General features: G+C 45.4%; 2 protein-coding genes and 1 pseudogene across 11 annotated transcripts in view, besides 4 other annotated features; all 3 read right to left on the reverse strand.

Moving 5' to 3' along the window:
* STK3 (serine/threonine kinase 3) overlaps nucleotides 1-22,248 on the reverse strand; it is a 598,636-nt gene extending 576,388 nt beyond the window's left edge. For all 8 annotated transcript variants that reach the window (XR_007060754.1, XM_017013756.2, XM_011517252.4 and 5 more), the window contains exon 1: nucleotides 22,016-22,248. Coding sequence is in view for 6 of the 8 variants with exons in the window: in XM_017013756.2 (XP_016869245.1) it covers nucleotides 22,016-22,108 (93 nt within the window). In the remaining 2 variants the exon portion in view is untranslated. The remainder of the gene's footprint in view (nucleotides 1-22,015) is intronic.
* Nucleotides 871-1,188, reverse strand: RN7SKP85 (RN7SK pseudogene 85; annotated as a pseudogene).
* On the reverse strand, nucleotides 2,263-22,248 carry LOC112268016 (collagen alpha-1(I) chain-like). Of its 3 annotated transcripts, none has more exons than XM_047422523.1 (2): nucleotides 17,273-22,248; nucleotides 2,263-3,840 (listed from the first exon to the last, which is right to left on the reverse strand). In XM_047422523.1, the coding sequence occupies exon 1, from the start codon at nucleotides 21,979-21,981 to the stop codon at nucleotides 21,166-21,168; it is 816 nt and encodes a 271-aa protein (XP_047278479.1). In that variant the 5' UTR covers nucleotides 21,982-22,248; the 3' UTR covers nucleotides 2,263-3,840; nucleotides 17,273-21,165. The 3 variants fall into 3 exon arrangements, with proteins under 3 accessions (XP_047278479.1, XP_047278480.1, XP_047278478.1); XM_047422524.1 differs by lacking the exon at nucleotides 2,263-3,840 and having other exon boundaries at nucleotides 15,513-17,972; nucleotides 18,975-22,248; XM_047422522.1 differs by lacking the exon at nucleotides 2,263-3,840 and having other exon boundaries at nucleotides 15,513-17,972; nucleotides 18,959-22,248.
* Nucleotides 19,707-19,956: a silencer, noted in NCBI's record as "silent region_19400". NCBI's record gives its function as "represses an Ori minimal core promoter by ATAC-STARR-seq in GM12878 lymphoblastoid cells {active_cell/tissue: GM12878}" and the evidence as "EXISTENCE:reporter gene assay evidence [ECO:0000049][PMID:35858748]".
* Nucleotides 20,627-20,876: a silencer, noted in NCBI's record as "silent region_19401". NCBI's record gives its function as "represses an Ori minimal core promoter by ATAC-STARR-seq in GM12878 lymphoblastoid cells {active_cell/tissue: GM12878}" and the evidence as "EXISTENCE:reporter gene assay evidence [ECO:0000049][PMID:35858748]".
* Nucleotides 21,327-21,476: a silencer, noted in NCBI's record as "silent region_19402". NCBI's record gives its function as "represses an Ori minimal core promoter by ATAC-STARR-seq in GM12878 lymphoblastoid cells {active_cell/tissue: GM12878}" and the evidence as "EXISTENCE:reporter gene assay evidence [ECO:0000049][PMID:35858748]".
* Nucleotides 21,727-21,986: a silencer, noted in NCBI's record as "silent region_19403". NCBI's record gives its function as "represses an Ori minimal core promoter by ATAC-STARR-seq in GM12878 lymphoblastoid cells {active_cell/tissue: GM12878}" and the evidence as "EXISTENCE:reporter gene assay evidence [ECO:0000049][PMID:35858748]".
* Nucleotides 22,249-22,485: the final 237 nt, after the last annotated feature.

Raw genomic sequence — 22,485 nt, forward strand, 5'->3', positions numbered from 1 at the left:
TAGCAGTAATGAGACATAAACAGTCAAACCTCAAAATAACATCTCTGGCCTTTAGAATCAACACAGCTCTCCTGTCAGCCTGCACCTGGCCCGTCCGGCTGGGTCTGGGAGCCAGTGGGGTTTTAGGCCCCTTTTAACAGCTGCCAAAAGCACATTACTCATGGCCGGGAAGTTGGCCTTTTATGTTGCCACAAGTGGTGCAGCCGTTGTTTGGACCTGGCGGAGTCCATTGTAGGTTTTTCTCAGGGATGGGGCTTTGTTCTTTGATTTTTCCAGAAGCTCTAGTTTGTTCAAATGTTACCCATGTGCAGTTTGCAAGCCCCCCATGCTCCTGTGCTGGCCTACAGCCATGCTCACTGCCTGGCAGCATCCTCCAGCCCCTGGAGAAGCAGGGCAAGAGGCTGAGGTTAGAACAGCAGAAGGTTACAACCTCACCCTAAGAAACTGTTTGACCTGCCTTGTCAGGGTCCAGGTTCTTAACACAGTGCAAAGAGCTGGGAGGAGGCAAATTAACACAAAAACTGCCTCTTACAGGCATACCTGTGAAACTACAAAAAAGCCTAATTGTAATACCTCTGTTTGAAATACACCCTTGAAATAAGTTGGTTGGTTGGTTGAGTGGTTGGGTGGGTGTATCTAGTTAAAAGAATCCCTATATCTATTTAGTTGATAAGATCTTTTCTGGGTTTCTAAGCTGCAGATCAGCCTGGTGCAAATGGATTTAGGGTGAAATCCTGGTGGAGGTCATTAGTATCTGGTGATGATATGCTCACAATATTTTAGTGTAATTATTTGTCTACTATCTATTTCCCCTTTTAGACTTTCAGTTCTTCAAGGGAAGGAGTTGTGTCTATCTTATTCACTGCTCTATCTTCAGGGTCTGGCTCAGACAAAACCTTCAAAAAAAAAAAAAACATAAAACTCTACTGCATGAATGAATATGTTGAATCTTGAGAGCTTGTCTGGAGGTTCTAGCAGGGGAGCTCAGCTACTCTGTACCCTTGACCGAAGGCCGGTCCTCCTCTGTCGGAGATGGTCATCCACTTCAACTGAGCGCACAGCTTCAGGAGAGAGGCACATGGAGTGCTGAGGGAGGAAGGGGACACCTGCCTAGCCAGCCAGATCAGCTGAATTAATCCTGGTGGTCAATAAGATGACAGATGTCACAGCCAGATCACCCTTGCATGCAAATATGTTGAATCTTTAATGTTCAAGTTGTTACAGCCTATGATGGCCTGGAGGCATTTCATACTACACTGGGTCCCTTGTGGCAAACTTTGTTAGCTGGGTATCCACAGCCATTTCTTTCTTTTCTTTTTCCTTTCTCTTATTTTATTTTTTTGTTTTTTGAGACAGTCTCACTCTATCACCCAGGTTGGAGTGCAGTGGCATGATTTCGGCTCACTGCAACCCCCACCTCCCGGGTTCAAGCGATTCTCCTGCCTCAGCCTCCCAAGCACCTGGGACTACAGGTGCGCACCACCAAGCCTGGTTAAGTTTTTGTATTTTTTAGTAAAGACAGGGTTTTGCCATGTTGGCCAGGCTGGTCTTGAACTCCTAGCCTCAAGTGATCCACCCACCTCGGCCTTCCAAAATGCTGGGATTACAAGCATAAGCCACCACGCCCGGCCTATCAACAGTCATTTCTATCTCCTTTCTCCTTCTCACTACAGAGGTTGGAAAGCACCCTTGCAGCTAGGGGTAGCCAGTTCTGGCCAATAAGGCTTAAGAGGGAAACTGCTGGCGTATTTCTGGGAGAGATATTTTGTTTTCTGATTAAAAAAAGAAAAAAACTCAAATAAAATCACTTTCTGGCATTGCCCTTTCTTCCTTCTTCTTGCTGTGAATGTGGACTGTAAAGCCAGACACTGTGACAGTCATCTTGCAACCAGTAGTGACAAGCATGAAGAGGAAAATGCAACACCTAACTAAGGATTGTAGAGGAGAAATAAAAATATTCTGGGTTATTGGGCTTCAGAGAGTCACTGAATCATCTCTGGAACCACCTACCTCCAGCCTTCTTATTAAGTGAGATAACAGGAACATCTGTAATGTTTGAGTCACAATTAGTCTCATTTTATTTTCTATTACCTGCATTTGAATATTTCATAACTGGGACTTTTCTTACTTCCACATTAGATACATGGACAGCGATGGTGTTTTATTCAGCTTGTTATTCCTGCACACCTAGCTCAGAACCTGGTACATAGTAAGAGCTCAAATATTATTAAACGAATGAACAAACAAAACAGGAAACAAATAAAAAGGGATTCAGAAGTTTATTTATTGCTCTTCTATTATATACAAGGCACTGCTGATCGCTGAGTGAGGGCTGTTCTTAGAATTTATTATTTACTTGCATATTTAAACTATAGTATTTATAAGGCATTGGTTACAAACTATTGTAATTCTTGGCTCTTGTCCTTTGATTTATATAAATTATGGTTTATCAAAGTACATGCTGTTTGCTTATTTTCTTAATGCACACATACTCATTCATTCTTGAAGCTTTAAGAAAAGTAACTTCCTCTATTTCCTCTATTATGTTTATTAGCAAACCCTTTTTATGAAATATGGAAACTATTTTTTCTTCTTTGAAATTAGTTAAAATTGGTTCCGCTGAGGATTGTCAAACTCTGGCTGTTTGCTGACCTCATTTCATGTAGAGCACTAGGGTATACACCATCCATGGGGTTTCAAAATGTTTGATGTTTGAAACTTTTAAATTAAAAAGAAATGTGGAGCCTTGATCAAATGGAAAGGTTTTAAATATATCTAAAGCAAATTGTAATGAAGCAAAATGTATACTTGCTTACAGTCAATGACCCATGTTAGAAGAAGGTATGAAATAAAAAAAGAACAGTAATAATGCAAATATTATGTTAATAAGTCTGGGGATTGAGTTTGTGGGAGTTATAATAAAGTTTCTTTTTTCCTTTCACGCTGTTCTTCATCAGAGCTCCAGTGAAACAAGAGTAATAAAATTTCCATCAACAGGTGGCAACACTTGTATTGTTTGCTTTTTAGAGTAGGCCTTGATTGCATTTCAGAACAAATGCATTGATAGTTGGCAAAGATGAATATGATATTTTTTTAAAGCAACCAAATCCAGAAATAACCTCATGCAAACATAAAATGAAAACTGTGACAGAAGAAATCATGAAAACAAACAAACAAACCTAAACCCTAGCACTACTTGTGAACATGGCCTGAGAAACCCCACGGGCATGTCCTTAAGCACAGAACGACGGAGTCTCCCTAGGCTAGAACAACCCAGAAGCCCACAGTACAAGGGTGAATGGTCACTCAACCAGAGATATAAATAAGATGGAATACCCTTTAGCTATTAAAAGTGTTGAAGTCTGGGGTACCCTCCAAGTCATGGAAATGTGTATATGGAATAAAGTGAAGTGAAAAACCAGAACATAAAACTCTGTGTATATGCAGGTTACAGTTTTGCAAAAACGTGTGTGTGTGTGTGTGTGTGTGTGTGCGCGCGCGCGCGCGCGCGCGCGTTGACAATGATGGGAGAGAATTTGGAACCATATCAATAGTTTTACGTTGAGCCAGCCAGTTCTTTTTATTTTTTTCCCCCTGTGGAATTTGTTTAGATTCATGATATTAAAAAGGAAAGAAAAGAAAAACCATAGCACTAAAACCAGTCATTGTACCCTGAAAGAGTTGTCAGGCCTTCTTGAGTTCATGGAGGTTTGCAGGTTCAGAGAGTCCATTTGAAGAAAGCAGAGAAGCATGAAGACAAAGATTCCGTTTTTGTCCCTGAAAATTTTGTGGAGGCTGTTCCCCGTCCTTGGCAGGCCTCTGCCTTCTTGTTTCTTCACACTGCAGTTTAGATAGCAGGGAGAACCTTGTCTGTTTAATAAGTTTGTGAACAAAGCCTGATTGCTTCCCTTGTCAATAAATAAACATTATCTGCTTCTGTTTCTCTGCTAAATTGAGTTTTTGCTTACCCTAACTGGTTATATAAAGGCTTTATGTACACAGGAAAAAGAAATGACAAGGTTGTGTAAGCAGGCAGCCCTGGGTAGAGTTGTGAAGTCAGTACAGTTTATTTCTATGGGCTCCTTCTTCTTCTTTATGCATACTTTCCCTCTTTCAAAGGCCCAGATGGCTCCTGAAACCACTATGCTCATCTTGCATCAACCTCGTAAGGAACCAATGGATTTCTTCCCAGGATTCTTTAAATCAAAACAAAAGAGGGACTAGCCCAAGGAATGATCACTACAGACTGAATTTTGGGCATGGAAGTGGGTTTATATTTGAGAATGACAATCTTAAGTCATACCACATAGGCAACAGTCCTTGTAAAAAGCCAGAACTGAGGAACAAACCTGAGGCACAGTTTAATTTACTGGCTTACCACCAAACAATTAAAAGGAGGTAAACTCAGTATTAGAAGCTAGGTCTGCGGAAAGCAGAAGGTGCAATGAGAGGCTGTGAGAGTTCAGAGGAATGAGGATGAACCTCTCTTTCTCTTCCCATAGGATAGTGGAGCCTGGACACTGTGCCCATAAAATGCCTCAGAATTGTTGCTGGTGTAAGGCACGGTATGGTACCAACAAGAAGGGAGAGGACAAAATCCTCTGATTTTGAAATAATGAGGGACAAAGGAGAAAACTACTCACACCAATGATTCAAAGCTAGGTTTCCTCTGAAATGTCATCCTGTAATGAGAATGATGTTAAAGTCCAAAACTTTCTCAAAAGTAACCACAAGAAGGTCAGATTGACCAGACAGAGTGGGTGCTTTGGGGCCCATCTGCTCCCAAAGTCATTCATCAGACTCAATGCTACTTCTCTCTATGTGCAGGGCTGCCATTGGTCTCCTGAAAACCCATAAGAAATTTTTGATCTTTCTGTTGGCTCAACAATTCTGATTTTTCTGCCTGGCTTATTGATAGTGATTGCTCACATTTCAAGTAAAAACTGCAAAATAAGGCATCCAGACTTGTTGCATCACAAGGCAGGAAAAGACAATTACTGAAAATCTAAAGAGAGATACGTGACTATTCTGCAACAAGTTCCTTAGCTCTCCCAAGATCATGGAGCAGATTGGCAGCAGAATTGGAGAGAAACTGTTTTCTGTACTGTATGCCTCACTCACTCATTTACCTGAGGGACTCAGGTTTTGAGGTAATAGAGATGCCAAATCCTTAGCACTTTACTGTATAGAAGGCAGCTCCATAGCCTTCAATGTCAGGAATAAAAACTCATTCAAACCCCTCTAATTTTAAAGATTTTTTCAGCCCCCTTTTTTCATCTGAAAGTTGTATTGTTGTTGGCCCAAACACCACTTTTTGATTGCCCTTGCTGCTTGCTGTGAATGCAATCTCTAAAGCACTCTGTTTAATCTTTGAATCAGCTCAGGAAGATGGAATTACCATCCCTGGAAAACTGCAGTTTAGTTTCAAGGAACCCGCTGCAGCTGCAACAATAAGATGGAAATGTGGTTTGGAGGAGGCAAGGATTAAAGGTATGGGATTAGGAAACCCTTGTTTGCCCTAGTGAGTTGAATGACCACATAAATCACAGGCTAAACTTGGCTCTGCTCAGCTCATATTAAAGTATGTAGCATCAGAGCCTCCTCATAATCAGGATTTGTCATCTTGAGTATCAGGATGGAAGATGCAGATGCCAAAGAGGGGCCGGGGGAGAAGAGAGGATGAGAAGGAAGTGAATAATTTTGGAGACAGTGACTACTATTTTGATAGGAACCAGAATGTCTGCACTATTTCAAGAACCACATATAAGGACAAAAGCTGTTGGAAATGTGCCTTCTAACTTCAAATTGCGCCTGACCATTAGAACGCTGATAAGGGTTGGGGGGAGAGCAGCTGGAACTCTGCAGGCTGCTTGGGTTTCTTTTCGTGATATTTATTCCTAGATCACATTTGCAGCTGCTTTTATCTGCTCTTTAGAAGTTCTTATATTTGGGGAATCATTCATTGTGAAATAAAAACCTATTCATTGACCTGGAAATGTGATTTATTAGTCAGCTACAGAACTAGTTGTCTATTAATGCAAACATATGGAATACGGAACTTTTCATTCTACCCAAGATGCCACTTATGGACCCTCAAGTTTATCATACCCCGTGATGCCCCCATATTAGTGCCCTGGGCTAAGACATTGAAAATAATACTCTCTTCAAGAGAAAGTAAAACAATACACACACATGCACACACACACACACATCTATAATGCAGTAATATGGACAGGGAAATGGGAAGAGGTTTTTGAATAAGAACCAAAGCCGTAAAAGAATAACCAGCAAAGAAAAGACAACATACAAATGCAGTTGTAAAATTAAGGCCGTTAAGAAATAAGGCATAGCCAGATCTTCTTAAAATGGGGCCAAAGCACATTGGGATTTGGGACAACAAAAGAGGAAGTTAGGGCAGGGTAGAGGAAACTGACTCCAGGATAGCTATGGCATGGTATGTTAGGACACAGCAAGCTTAGGTGTGCTATGGTACCAGCTGGCCCAAAACCAGTAGGCAAGGCAAGGTACTGAGAAGTTCCAGGCAGCAGTGGTGGGTGGTTGTGTGGTGACAGTGAGAACTGCAGGGGCATGGGGCCCGAATGCAGACTAGGCTGTGTAAGGGCCACAGCCAGGCAAAATGAAGTTTATAGTGTGTCCTAGCTCTATGCAGAGCCAGGAGTTCTAGGCAGGATAACCAAGCAGATCAAGCTAGAATCAAGATATCTAGATGGGCGCAGTTCTGACAGAATGAGGGTGATGAGATGATACTTCCACTTTAGGGCTACATTAGGCCTGTGGCTCAATCTCTGAATGTGAGATCATGCTGGCAATCCAACTTTATTTCAAATCATACTGGAGGGCAGAGCTGAGGCTACCTGTCTTGTTCAGGGTTGGACCATGTGTTGGCCCTATAGTGTTATTTGTCTGCTCAACAGTCCTTCCTTTGGGAATAACTTTTCTGTGATTCATTGTGGTTTGGGCATTGCCCTCCCAGTGCAAAAGGGTGGGACTATGTCTCAGATCTGGCCAGTCAGATTCCTTTATTCCCCAACCTACAGTGATTAATCCAGAGATACGCATATGGCACAAGCTGAGCCAAATCTTCTATGGAAGGTCTTCTCCTACTACTAGTGTTTATTGAGTGCTTACCCTGTGCTGGGAACAGTTTAAATGCTTCAGATGCATTATCTCATTTAATTATCATATAATTTGATAAGGTAATGCTATTATTATCACCCCTTTACAGATAAAGAAACTGAAGCAAAGATAGAGTAACTTGTCTAAGATCATACACCTAGGTGGTAGAGATAGACTGTGTAACTAGGCAGTCTTGTCCCAGAGCTTGTGCTATTAACATGAAAGGAAAGACACACTTCCCTGCTCTAGGATTGTAAACTATAATGATCACATAACATAAGCTGGAACTATAAGTGTCCACGTTCCTAGGCCACAGAGTGGGAGCTGTCTGCAGTAGAAGAGAATGAGGCCATATATTATGAAAAGAAGGGAAAGAGATCCTCATGATATGGTTTGAGTGCCTGGATCTAGGCATGCCTGAAGCTATTCAACTCATGGACTTTTCGGTTACATGGACCACTAAACTCCCTTTATTGCTTAAACTAGCTAGAGTTGGGTTTTTGTCACTTGCAAACAAGAGTCCTGACTAATACAGGCTTGTCTGTAGGGTACTTCAGTATGCAGTGGGGAGCCTAGAGAAGATGAGAACAGGAGAAATGAGTCAGAATGTGTTCAAAGCAGGTTGGCATCCTACAACACGCATGCCATTGTTGTGGCATTCCACGGCTCCAGTTGTCCTTACCTTATTATTGTGCCCTGCTTCAGTTGACGGTCTATAAACCAACTGTCTCTGCACAGACACAGTCCACTGGAGAGAAATCTAAAGCTAAAGCAATGCAAGGCTATCACCTCACCAGGAGAAAATGTTTACTCTGCCTTATCAATACCTGGATTTATAGCATACTGCAAATAACCTGTAGAATGCTGGTTGATCACAAAAAGGCCACACCCAAGAAACTGTGAAAAAACAAGACAATTGCAAAGCTTGTGCTTTAAAATATACCTATGCATCTCCTTTAAAAGGTTGGGGGATTTGGCAATTGGATGGTTAGTTAGTCCCTCAGGAATAGCTAGACAGATTCAATAGTTATTCCACCTTTGACTAGTTTGAAGTATCCTTTCTAGGTTCCTGCACTGCAGAGCAGTGAGCCTTTGTGTGGCTTGGCCTTGAGGTTAATACAAGCGAAACTCTTAGAGCTATATCTGGCACATAGTAAGTGCTCATTAACCAAGCACCATTCTTTTCTTCTCTTCTTGGCTTTCCAAAGATTCTACAATACTGGTATTACCTTTCCAATTAAAAAAATTATAATAAGTTGCTGATTCTCCCCAAAGGAAGCACAAATTCCTCACTTGGAAATAATTCCCTGCAAAACTGGCTTTATGGACCAGAAGCAATTTCTAAACCTGATAACAGGTTTAGAATGAGGGGGGCTTTAACAACTGTATGGACTACTGGGAGAAGCTCCAATCAATATTCCCACACATGGACAAGAGTTGAGCTGAAAAAGATTTTTAATTCAAAGGTCAAAGCTTGACAAACAGGCCGGGCATGGTGGTTCATGCCTTTAATCCCAGTACTTTGGGAGGCCAAGGCGGGTGGATCACCTGAGGTCAGGAGTTTGAGACCAGTCTGGCCAACATGGTGAAACCCCGTCTCTACTAAGAATACAAAAATTAGCCAGGCATGGTGGCAGATGCCTGTAATCCCAGCTACTTGGGAAGCTGAGGCAGGAGAATTGCTTGAACCCGAGAGGCAGAGGTTGCAGTGAACTGAGCACAGCATTGCACTCCAGCCCAGGCAACAAGAGCAAAACTCCATCTCAAAAAATGAACAACAACAAAAAAAAACTAACTAGAGAAACTAAGGCAAATGAATGCCAAGAGTCACACAGCTGATGAGTAACAGTGTTGTGATTCAAAGATCAGGTTGGGAGACCAGATGTGCTGGCCCATGCCTGTAATCCCAGCACTTTGGGAGGCCAAGGCAGAGGATTGCTTGAGCTCAGGAGTTTGAGACTAGCCTAGGGAACGTGGCGAAACCCCATCTCTGCAAAAAAATTAGCTGAGTGTGGTGGTGCACCACTGCAGTCCCAGCTACCTGGGAGGCTAAGGTGGGAGGATCACTTGAGACCAGGAGGTGGAGGTTGCAGTGAGCCAAGATCACACTACTGTACTCCATCTTGGGTGACAGAGCCAGACCCTGTCATAAATAAATAAATAAATAAAGGAATAAAGATCAGGTTAGTACAATTAAATTGTGCCAGCCTCTTGGTCTCCCTTGACAATGAAATTAATTATATCCCTATTTTTTAGTGTGTTATAATCTGAGTTTTAAAATCTGAATTAATTATCATGATTTTCTCTGTCTTCCCATAAACTCACTTGAAAAGCAGAAAGTGCTTGGTCAGCAAGAACCTTCAGAACTTTGTAGCTGAAAGGAAGTTTAGAAATCAAATAGGGGTGAGGAAGACTGGATTAAACAGATGTCTTTACCGTAGGCCTTCTCAGAGTCTTTGTTGTGCTAGCATGCACTTTGATTCTCCAATATATAACCTTTCTCAAACTTATTTGACAATGGAATCTTTTTTCCTCAAAATTATTAAGATCTTGAGGTGTCCTGAACAACATGTAGGAAGTGGTATAATAAATCTCTAGTCCCATCCTGGGCTCACATTTTGTTCTGTAAATCCTAATTATGTCCCTGTAAGCTGAGGCCTAGAGTGACAAATCCTTCATCTCAACTCCCTCACTACCCTGGGGAGGAGGGGAAGGCGGTTGTGGGGGGAATGGGAGGCCTACTGGGAACTCCAGGTTCCTGTTCTCTCAGGCCCTCAGCATGTAGGGAGGGAGAAGCCAGAAACTGCAGCTGCCGCCCCAGGCCCCCAAACTCCATTCCCTTCACTGTAGCTTTGAATTCCTCCCATGTGTAATTATAAAGTATGTGTTCAGTTATTTACTTTCCCTGTTCCATGCAGAGTGTGTTACTGAATAATACAGTTCACAAGTAAATCCAACTTTTCTGCTGCAAGGTCTGAATTAAAAAGATTATAACCTTCTATCATTCCAGTTTTAAAAGAAACCACTACTTATGTAGCTTAAAAAAAAATGGAAACAATGATTGTCTGTCCTCTCAGAAATGCAAGCAAAATTGTAGAATTAAGATGTTTACATGGATTTTGTTGTTTCTAACAGCCTTAAATTGCCTCATTTAGGAAGGGTAAAAAATAAAATGCCCATGTTTCTTGGATTTCCAGGAACTGAGTCTGGCAGCCGGTTCACTGTTGTCTTCTAGAATTTGAAGCAAGAAAAATTACAACCAAACTGGTGTCAATTTGCTCTATTTATCTTGGGAATTAACTTCAAAGCTTAATTGTCAGAGACAGTGACCTCTATACTCATGAAAATCCCCAGGGAATTACAAAAGCAGACTACTTGAGTGGAATGTGAATGTCATTCTGAGAACAGGCCTGCACAGCGCCTGAAGGAAAATGCTTAGCCCAAGAAGGATGGAGCTGACCCTACAAGCTTCTGTACTTCATTTCTCAACACTCAGATCAAGTTCCTAACCCACAGCTTCTGTCTGACCCATGTTTCTGCCACTGAGCTGGTTCCAGAATTGCCTGTGGATGTGCCCTGCCACAGAGAGATGAGGTATCCTTGAAATCGGCTGAGCTCAAGTGCAACCACTGACCCCACTCCACTCCTGAAGACTTCCAAGGAGATAGTGCAGTGGCCAAGGGATGAGCTGAAGTAGTTCTGCTTGTATAGGAAGGCCCCTGGGCAGTGTTTTGTCTGGAAACTTCCCCTTAATCTGGCAGAATTTGGAACAAATGTTTGGCTGAAACCATATACTATCAAATTAATAGAACAATTGTAGGATAGAGAACAATAAGTCAGAAAACAAAAATGCAAGCACACAGCTCATAAAGTCTACTTTATGGAAGTAAGTAGAATGCTGAAAAAGTACACATTGTGCTCTGTGGAATAACCACTCCTACCCCGACCCGGCCTGCGCCAGCCTGATCCCTCATGCACATAATTAAAACAAAAGGAAGAGGAGAAGAAAATCATTTGAGCAAATAATGTCCAAGCCTCTGCTGTGGTCAGTGGTAAACCCAGATACCCAGCAGATAACATCATGGTTGTAATGAGGTAACAGTGAACAGCCAGGAGAGGCACTGGCTTTTGATAACAGCCATTTTTGTTAAGTACAAAAAACTTTGCTGACTGGCCCCGCCCTAAATCATTGCCTTGTAAGAAAGGAGCCCTGTCAGAACAAAAACAATCATGCTGTACTAGATGACTCTGGAATACACAACAATCTCCTTTCCTGGATATGTCAGTGCAACTTAAGAGCCCCAACTGTGGTTAAGTATACTTTCTTTTACTCTAAAAGATAGAGCTCCTTAATTGATTTCGCCTTCACTAATGAATGGTCCCTCTTGCTCCAGGAATGTTGTTCCTTTTAACCAAAGCACAATTTTGGGTGGTACTTTAATGAAATGATGAGGTAAGTGGAGACTTGCAGTTAGCAAACCAGATAATCCAAATAAATTCTGGTAGTCAGATACCGAAGCCAGATCAACGAAATGCCTGGATCCCCAATTGATCTAAACAGGCCTCCAGGATAGTTCACTCCTGATGGTAACAATAATTAACAGTGGAAAATGGAAGAGATAATTTGGGAATCATGCAGAGTTTATCATCTCAGATTGGGAGCAAGTGAGAAGCCAATGAAAGGGGAAAAAAAAATAAGAGAAAATACTATGAGTAGGAAAACAGTTTTTATGATTTGGCATCTAAGAAAAACAAGGTAGTTGGGAGTAATGCTTACTGTTTTCTAAGATTTATCTATTCTTAGTTATTCCTAAGCAACATTTTGGATCAATAGTTCTCAAACAGCCAATTTAAGGACCCATGAAGGCTAGTCATTGGAGGAGGTCTTTAAATATCAATAGCTGGATTCCCAGGTCTAGCTCTAGAGCAAGTCAAGTATATAACCAGGGAAACAGTACTCCCCAGGTTTAGTAGATAAACACTCGACTTTCAAAAACATTTGGATAGGAAGAGATAAGCAATAGGAAGCCATTGTAGGTGTTTAATGAATCAGAGGAAAGTGATTTAAAAGGGCTTTAAGGAAATTATCTGGCAATAGAGGCACAGTGGCCTGGAGTAGTTGTTTCCAAATTTAGTCTATAGGCATATCACCAAGGGAACTATCTTGTTAAAATTCAGATTCTCATTCAGGAGGTCTGCTGCATTACTAAACAGCCCCCAGGTGAGGCCAATGCTCCTGGTCCTCCAGCCATACTTCGAAAAGTTAGGCCCTGGGAGGACAGCTGGGGTTGAATGGAATTCTGATACTCAGAGGCTATTGATACAGCCAATTACTCTGCTGGAATCAAGTCACCACTTTTTCCCAGAGCCAAATTCCAGCTTCAATCTAGACTGTTACCTGGTCATAAGAGAAAGAGCCTTTTGCCTGAAATCAGTAGCCCCAGGTCTGTGCTGTGGAAAAGTCAGCTAGTTTGAGGAAATTACTTTCCTCCTGAGCCTCTGTGGCCACATAGGTAAAATGAGAGACCTGGGTTATATCGTCTCTAAACTACATTCCATGATCCTAAATCCTCTAACTCCAACACATAGAATGGGGTCAGACCAAGTTACATGGCCTTTTCTAACTCTGCAGGTTATTAGGTATTGTATTCTAAAGAGTCAGCATGAGTATTTTACATCCTTTGGTATGTTTGTTGTAAAACATATGTGTCCTTCCTATGTATCAGTTGTGTACATTACTATTTAGACATGTAATAACACCCTAAAAAAGCGAAATACATTTGTATGTGGGGAGTTGATAAAAGAAAATACTATTGTATACAGACCGAAAAACATTATCCTTTATTTTTAAAATATTGTAAGCACTGGCATAAACAAGGCATAGCTTACAGATGTGTGTAAATCTGCACAAATTGTGCACATTTACTATTTGGAGGGGGAAATGTATTTTAAAAATTGTTTGGACTATATGTCCTTTTTCTTTTTAGCAGAGTGGGGAGTCAAAAGAATTGAATTACAGGGTAGAATATAAAATATCTCCTTTAAGGAAATAAATGTGTAATAGGAACTATCTATCCAATTCTCTCAGGCATGGGAAGCCCTTGGGGCTCATGTAAATTGTATATAAGTATGTCTTCAGTGTCACTCCAGATGTTTTTGCAGGGAAATAATCCCTCTCCCCATATATTGGCATCAACACCCTGCATGTAACCTCCATACTCAAACTTGCCCCAAGCCAAGCAGCATCCTGAAGAGTGATTCCAGGTGAGATTGGGGAGCTCTAGGCCCTTCCTGCCACCCTCCTTCCATACCTATGTTACTAAATATACTTCTAGACTTGGAAGAGAGAATAGAGCCTGTAAGTATTAACACAGGACAAGGCTCAGAAGCAAAGTTAACCCACCAGGCAGAGAGGTCAGGCCAGGACAATTTTAAATGGTAATTAAGTCTCTCCACACTTATCTTTAGAGATTGTCCTTGGGCTCTGGCTGAGCAGGGCCTTCCCTGCTGTGTGTGGGGTCTGCTTGCAGTTTTGACTCTGCCCCTCTGGGGAACCCAAGCTGCACATTTTTTTCTGCAGCCTCTGACTATGAGGTTATATTAATAAAAAGGCCATTCCTGCCTTTAGCAGTTGCCGACCAAGTCTGCTTTATATGGCAACAGAGCCAGGAAGAATCCAGGGCTTCAGTACAGGGACTTTTCCACTAGTATGTACTGTTTTGTTTCATTTCCTATTCCATCTTCCAAGGAAAAAATGAAGTCCTGCTGCAGAAGACCCAGTCACTAGGCCCACCTGACACCTAGTACATATCTGACAAAAGGAATGCTGCCATGTGGTACAAGTGGCCTTCCCCAACAATCCCCAGCCAGGTTCCTGAAACCTCTCTTTTCCAAGTCCGACCCACCTTCTTTGTTCACACCTCCCCACTCTAAGAAGAAAGCTGCATATCGGAAGCCACAACTAAGAGTGAACAAAAAGGGGCAAGTAGTGGCAATATGCTCAGGGGTTCCAAAGTAGAATCCTGCCAATGCATATAGTGCTTAAAACCATAAAAGCAGCAAAGGTGTCAGTGAAAACGATGTAGAACCAATGACAGTGATTATGGTGCCAACACATATAAGATGACATATGTAGGCCGGGCACGGTGACTCATACCTGTAATCCCAGCACTTTGGGAAGCCAAGGTGGATGGACCACCTGAGGTCAGGAGTTCGAGACCAGCCTGGCCAACATGGTGAAACCCCGTCTCTACTAAAAATACAAAAATCAGCCAGGTGTGGTGGCATGCTCCTGTAATCCCAGCTACTCGGGAGGCTGAGGCAGGAGAATAAGCTTGAACCCAGGAGGTGGAAGTTGCAATGAGCTGAGATTGTGCCACTGCACTCCAGCCTGGGCAACAGAGCGAGACGCCGTCTCAAAAATAAAATAAAATAAAATAAAATAAAATAACATGACATATATAAAGAGCAAAGCACAAGCCTAGACATCCTATGGCTAAAACTGTTGGTTGTCTCCCTATATCCATTCTCCTTTTCTTTAGTAATAGAAGTCTGAATTTAAACTGGGCACATGGCTACCCAGAGTAAAGACTACATTTCCTAGCCTCCGTTGCAGCTAGATATGCCTGGTGACTAGGTTCTGCTTTCTGTGGAGTCTCCTTAGAGGTGGGGGTGGGGGGCTTGCCCTCCTTCATGCCTTCCTTCTTGCTGTGGGTCAGAATGCAGCTATCTTGGACCATAAAGTAAGAGTCATGGCTTGAAGTTGGTGAAAACACATGATAGAATGAGCCCAAGTACCTGATAATGAAGAAGCTATCCACCATATTGATGCTGGCTTGTCTATATTTATGTGGGAGAAGTCAACTTCTCTGTTGTTTAAACCCATGTTAATTTGGATTTTCTGATACACACAGCTCAATTGTATTTTAATACAATCTCCTTCCTCAAGGCCTCATACATCAATAGTATCCCCAAATTAATTGCATCATTATTTCATTAGAGAATAGCATCCAAAATAATAACTTAGAAGCTTAAAACAACCTATTCATTATAGATTCACTCCATGTATTCTCTAATTGCAATTAAAACAAGATTATAATATAATGCATGGTACTGTATTCCTACTTTTCAGTAAAAAATGAAAATGTAGACATTTTCTCTTGGTAAAAGTCTTACTGTCAAAGCAGATGAGTAACTTTTTCTCTAACATTTGTTCCAACAGCTTAAATTGTATACTCTTGATAACCAGATAATAGGTATTGAGTCAAATTTCTTCCCCTTGGTTTTCTCTCCAACTTCTTACATGGATAGGAGGAATAATTTTGTAAGGTCAGTTCATGTTAATGGGTAAGAAAAAGTCATAACTACTAAGAGCATTAATATGGATCCATGTTATTTATTTATTTATTTTTGTTTTTATTTATTTATTTTTTTTTGAGGTGGAGTCTCACTCTGTCGCCCAGGCTGGAGTGCAGTGGCCCAATATTGGCTCACTGCAAGCTCCACCTCCCGGGTTCATGCCATTCTCCCACTTCAGCCTCCCAAGTAGTGGGACTACAGGTGCCCGCCACCACACCAGCTAATTTTGTTTTTGCATTTTCAGTAGAGACAGGGTTTCACTGTGTTAGCCAGGATGGTCTCGATCTCCTAAGCTTGTGATCCACCTACCTCAGCCTCCCAAAGTGCTGGGATTACAGGCGTGAGCCACCATGCCTGGCCTGCATCCATGTTATTTAACCCTCAGAATATCCTTAATTTGCAGATTCAGACACAGAGGGTTCAACAAGCAACATGACTTGCCCAACATAATAGAGCTATTAACTAGGGATCTTGGATCCAGGGTTTCTGATGCATACGATATCATAATTGCCTATTTACTTGTACATCTTCCCAGTAGACCATAGCTCCAAATTCATTATTGCGTTCCCAGTACCTACCACAAGGCCTACCATACCAAACATCCTCAATAAATGTACATTAAATGAATTACCAACTCTAAAATACCACTCTGCTATTGCTCCCTTGCTCTGCAAGTGTTCTACAAACCAATGCCCTTAATATATTCCAGGTCACTCCCAGGCCATATGGCTTGTCAAGAGAATGTGGTCAATGATGAGACAGAGGGGGAGCAGGACTAGTGAACACACCCATATGACACACTTGTTCTCCACACTCTCCTGGGCCTGGGCGGGCCCACCACGTAGGGCATTTGGATGTGTGCCTCATGGCCTGGGAGACAACTTGCACTTAGTGTACTTTTCCAGGAAAAGAAAAAGACAACCATGGTCTAACACGTTAGAAACACTGCTGCCTGGTGTTCTGACATCATAGCATCCACCCAGTTTGATTCCTGGAGGCAAGCCCACTTGCAAAGCATGGGCCAGGGATGGTATGGGGGAAAGGACAAGGGAAGAGGGGTTTGGTGACTGAAAAGTGAAGTATGTGGCTAAGACAAGCAGTATGAGCAGACACTGTAAAGAGTGGAGGGGGGCTTCTCATACTGGTATGTCTCCAGATCCATTGAAGTTTTCTGTGTTTTGGGCTCAGAGGCAAAGATAACAGAGCTCATCACTTCTTATAAGACCAGTATTCTTTGAAACTTTGATCTGAGCTGGTCCTGCTCCAAATTCTCCCAAAAAACTATGAGGATGGGGCCAATCTAGCCGTCTGCCTCTTCCCTTACTCCTCCTCCAGCAAGGGTGCCAGAAGAAGAATGATTTGTTTTTTCTCTGTGGCTCCTTACAGTCAGGAAGTGAGAATCAGCTTGAGTGAGCTATGGTCACCAATCACAATGAAGCTACAGTGGAATTATCACCTGGCATGAAGTGAAATAACATCATTATAAAATGTTGTCTTCCAGTTGGAAAGCCAGAAGTTAAGCCTGTGCTGGCATTCACTTTCTAATAAATGGGCTGGCTTAAACATTGATTTTCTCTCCTTGACTTATAAAAATGACTAAAAATGTAAGACAGAATTCAATAAATGTTTTAAAGATTGCCATTAAATACAAATACTTTAACAATTTAACAAAACCAAGGGGATCCAACCTTAAAATTCCACCTTCCTTGTCCTCACTTCTACCCCCAAGTCAGGATGAAAGTTCAAGGTTTCAAACAATAGCACAATTGCCTCTTACCTGGTACATAGTAGACACTCAAGAAAACTGTTGAAAAGGAATTGTATGTGCCTTATTAGTCGGTACTTCACAGGATTTTTAGAGTTGGCTTGACTTGGATTAGATTCAAGAATAGTGTATTAGCCCTCCAGGGGAATATTCACAGGCAAACAGCTACAAGGATATACTACATTTTCCTTTGTTAAAACTTGTATCTGCATTCAAATATTGGCCTTGGCATTTCCTAAGGGCTGGCTGCTTTGAATGTTACTATATCAAACCATCTGCACTGGGAAGCAAAATTCTGTTAAGAAATAGAATCACTGGTAGTAAAGAGATTACCACATTCCTGACCACTGTAACATCTTATATTTTGAGAATCCCCATAAGAAAAGGTCATTTGAAAATAGCAACCCTTTGTCAAAGTGGAGATGATGAATACTTTTGTACAATTTATGACTATGGTCAGTATGAAAATTCATTTTTGTTTATATGCGTTTTCAGTGGCTTCCCTGCACTGACTCACTAAAATTAAAGCTTAAAAAAAAAAACTAAAAAAACTTGAAAATAGATGATGACAAGAGGCTTCCAGTTAGACGGGATTTTGGGGAGGCAAAGTGCCTTCTATTGTTCACTGCCCAAAACTAGAAAATCCTGGAGGGAAGCAAATGGTCCAGTGGAGGCAGCTCTTTGGCCGAGGAGAGAAGTTCAAGTGAAGGTCCTAGAGAGAAAGTGCAAAGTGAACAATCATAAGGGAAGTTGACTTGGCATAAGAAGACTAGAAAGTGCCAGTGTCATTCAGATTTTTAGTTGGGGGAGAAGGGAGACTATTTTATACTCCCTCAAGAAAAGCAAAGGGACTTGATTCCATCTTAAGGTGACAAATCAGGACGCCAATGCTGGATGCACTTGAAGGTGGAGAGCTAGGCAGATTGAGGCAGCAGGAAGCAGGGTGGGAGCCAGTGTGCACCAAGTGGGTGAGGGGAACATGTGAGTCAGTTCCAGCTGTCCTCAGACCCTCCTGCCCAGCCTCAGGGTAATCCAGGGGCACAGAGACTCTGAGCCCTGGCCCACCCGTGGTCCCTCGGATTTTGACACTCCCTCACCCCCAGTGTCATGCACTCTGACCTACTGCAGGGAGGGTTGGCAAGGTGTGGGCAATGTGTGTCAAGATGTGTGTGGAAGGTGTGCAGTAGACACACAGAATCCCTAAAATGTGATGAAAATAAAAGAATGACATCGGCACGGACAAGGAAGGCAGGCAAGTGTTACAAATAGTTAGAAACTGTAAAATGAGGTGCGACATTTCCGGAAATCAGTCAGATCTAGTATTAGATAATACTAATTAACAACAACTGGCCGTGAAAGAAGGCACCCGCACTTTTTCTCCATTGCTCTCCCCACCATCTTATGCCGACTCCTTGCGGGGAGGGGTACAGCCTTGTTCCCCTAGGTATCCTAAGCTCGTTTCCAAGTACTTGAAGGTGCCTTTGGAAAGTCTGATGAATGAGAAATAAGTGAGCGAGTGAATGAATGAATAAGCTGCCTAAAGCAGATGCGTTTATGCGTGCATTCTCTCGAGTGAAGGAAGAAGGAAGAGGTAGGGACGGAGGAGGAGAGAGAGCACGCGCGGGAAAGATAAATCGCGCCCGCCCGCGATGGACCCCAATGTCAATCTGATCTAGGTTAGTGGTTCTCAAACTTTACCATGCATCAGAATCACCTGGAGGGCTTGCTCAAACACAGATTGCCAGGCCCCACTCCCAGTTTCTGACTTAGTAGGTGAGGCCAGAGAGTTTGCATTTCTAACAAGTTCCAGATGATGCGAATGCTGTTGGACCACACTTTAAGAACCGCTGCTCTAGAGGGTAACTCGGACCTATCCCAGCGTCCCAGGGAAACGAAATCTGCAGTGAGAAATGGAACGTCCAAGGCAATCTTCAGCCGGCCTTTTAAAAACAAGTCTGGAGACGGGAGGGTAGCGCTGCTCAGCTCCAGCCAACTCACTGCCGCGTAGGAACGGAGGTCATCGGAAATCAAGATTTCCGTTTGAATTTTCCCAAAGTTTAAGCGTTGGCAAGTGCGTTGAAAAACACACACAATATGAAAGCCTAATAAAAATATAGGTTTGCAGACCGTGCCCTAGTCTTTTCCGAGGATGTTCTTTTCTGTCATCCATCGTCTACCCACGTTGAGCACGACAGCCGGGCCAGTCCCGCCCTGGGCGGTTGGGGCCTTCCCAGAGGGGCCCGGTGCGGAGAGCCCCCCTCTCCCCGGATGTGTCTGGGGCCTGTCCTTCACTGCGATGTCATCGGTAAACCTGGTCTTCCTTGTCACGGACACTGAAGCGCTTGGTTCGAAAAGCACCATGAATTCGAAGCAGCCTTGGACGCGGGATCATGGGCGTTAGCCTGGCTCTCTCCGACGAGGCAAACTGCAGGAGATCCCCTTCCCTGGAGTCACCGGAAGGCGAAAGCACGCTCTGTGCCCGCGCGCCGCCCCGGGAGCCCGCTCCTACCCCCTCGGCGTGCGGCGCGGGCCTGGAGACCGCGGAGCCCGAGCCGTATCCAGCTTGTGCAGGAGCCGGTGCGCCCTTCCGCCCGCTCCTCCCCCGGGACCATCCTCACGCTCCAGGGTCGCGGAGGCATCTTGCGACTAGCGAGGGGCTGACGGTGGCCTGGGTGGCCTTGCGCCGGCTCTGGGCTCCGCCGCTGCGGCAGCCGAGGGCCTCAGCTGGGAAATCCAAACCCGGGCTGGACCTGGGCTCAAGGAGGTTTCTGTCCCCAGGCTAGACCACCACGGCCACGGCCACGCAACTTGCCCTGAGACCCCGTGCTCGGCCTTCCCACTGAGCTCCCCTTCCCTGTGACTCAGTGCCTCGCAGGCTGGTGGCCGGAAGGGTGCCTGCGGCTGGCTGGCCCGGCCCGATTCCGGGTGGCGGGGTTCCTGCAGTGAGGAACGACCCTCAGCTCCCGCAGACGCGGGAAGGCCCCCGCGCCATCCGTGGGAGTGGGGCAGCCTGTCTGCACGCGGTCCCCTGGGAAACCCCTCTGCATCTCCCGCCCGGACAAGGTCCCCGGCCTTGGAATCTGCGCCGCCCCGCACGCGACCGCCTGCGAACTCCCTGCGCTGGGGTCAGAACTGGTATCTTTCTCCTCCTCTGGGGAAGTCAGGGCAGCCCGGAGTGGCGTCGTGGGTCCGAAAAATCCGTCTCAGAAACCCACCAGGAGAAAAGGCTCTGGGGTGGGGGACACCATGTGGGGCTCCCACAAAGGACCCGACGGTGGGTGTGGAGAAGCTTATTGGCCCTGAGAATAGGCCCAGGCCCTCTCCACAGGACCCCTACCGCACACGCGACTCTTTCTCTGCAGCAAAGGGGCTCGGGCCCAGGTACAGGGAGCCGCTGGGCCGGCGGGGCAGCTGTTGGCCAAGCCCTCACGCAGCGGAGCCCACCACCGGTGTGGCCGCCCCCTCAGCCCGCGCCACGCAGAGCTCGGCCGGTGCCTCCAGGGGGCGCTGCGGCCCTTCCCGCCGGCTGCGGACTGCAGCCCGCGGCTGCGCTTTCCCACCTCAGCCCTGCTGAGAGCACGGGCGCTGACGCGCTGTTTTAAAAGATAAAATTCTTAGCCTTTTGCCCTTGTCTCCGCACCCTCGACTCGGCCTAGTACACGCAATCCTCCTCTGGGTTCCCCAGGCGTCCTTGCTACTCCAGGGCCAGGGTGCACGCACCCTGAGCAGAGCCAAGCTCCCTACTCCTCCAGGCTCTGGCGAAAAACGGCCAACAGTGCGGGAAGTTCAAATGCAAAAGGTCCCCGCCCCGCAGAGGCAGTGGAAGGCTGAGGAGAAGGGAGGCGAGTCCCCGGAGGTAGTGGCTGGGATCCCTGGAAAAAGATAAGGTTTTCACATTGTATTCTTTAAAGATTAAAAGTTTCGAGGATCCGAGTCCGAGTGGGAGAGGCGCGCGGTCCGAGTGGGAGAGGCTGAGAGTCAACTCCAGGGAAGTCTGTGTCTGACACCTGCTCGCTGCTTAGCTGGCAGAGCCTCCTGGGTGGGCCGGGGGGCAGGGGCCTGCGCTGCGCGCCCCCTCCTCCTCCACCTCCTCCTCCGCGTTTCCTGTCCCTGGCCTTCATCCCGGCCTCCCGGGGCGTAAACTTGCAGCGGTTGGGGTTCAGGCAGCCGCTGCTCGCGCGCCCCTCGTCAGTTAGCCATTTCCCTGAGAGCGTCCTTGGTGTCGCAAGTCCAGAGCCGCGAGGACAGCAGATGACCGGGTCAGCGGAAATTTCAGAGCCAGCCAGCAGCTCAGGTCCCCGGGGCCGCGGCAGGAATGGAACGGCTCCGCGGAGACAGCCTCGGGGGCACAGCCGGGCCACTGCAGACTCCGGGACTTCCCTCTCCGCACACCCGAAACCCACAACTCGCCCGTGGGCCGCGTGGCCTTTCTGCGCCGAGGGCTGCTGGGGGCGGGCGGCGAGCCTGGCGGGTGACCTGCTCTTGGGTGGGCCCCGCAATGCCTGCGCCCTAGACGCCGGCCGGGACGAGGGGCTGGCTGGGTCTGAGCCTGGAGAAACACAAGGGTCAGCCCCCAGTGGGCGCAGAGGTGGCCCAGGAGGGCCCGCGGACGGTGCTGCGCTGCGCTCAGCCTCCGGGCCGCTCCCCGCGTTCGGCGCGCACCTGCCCATCGAGGCGGCAGGGCCAGCAGGCGGCCTAGGCGCGGCCGGGCCACGCGGCATCCCCCAAAGCTGGAGCTCGCCGACTCTTCCCTACCTTTTCAAGAGACCGTAGTCGTGCCCAGAACGCCGGCGTGGCCCAGACTCCATTTTGGAACTTCGCAGGCTGGCGTGGACGAAGTAAACACATTTATGGAAAAACCCCGGGGTTAGGAGGTTTGCGGAAAGAGGGAGCAGCTCGTGGGGTTGGAAATTCTGCCTACCCCTCGGGAAAACCAAACGGTTCTGCACCCAACGTACACATACTTAAGGGCGGGAAAGGTGTGAAGCCCGCTGCTGGGGAGTTGCCTCCCCTTTGATGAAAAGGAAGTGCGAAGCGTAGGAACGCTCTTCAGGTCACCACCCCGTGAGTGGGAGGCTTGGGGAGTCTGAAGGAAGAGAAAGCTCCCTCCAAATCTCCCAAACTGAGAAAAGCTGCAGGAGGAATGAGGCAGTTGGAGAGAGAGGACCGCAGGCATCCCGCAGCTGAGGCTCAGGACTGAGCTCTAAAATGAAAGCACCCCTATG

This window comes from Homo sapiens, chromosome 8, assembly GCF_000001405.40.
Source record: "Homo sapiens chromosome 8, GRCh38.p14 Primary Assembly".
NCBI classification, from domain to species: Eukaryota; Metazoa; Chordata; class Mammalia; order Primates; family Hominidae; genus Homo; species Homo sapiens.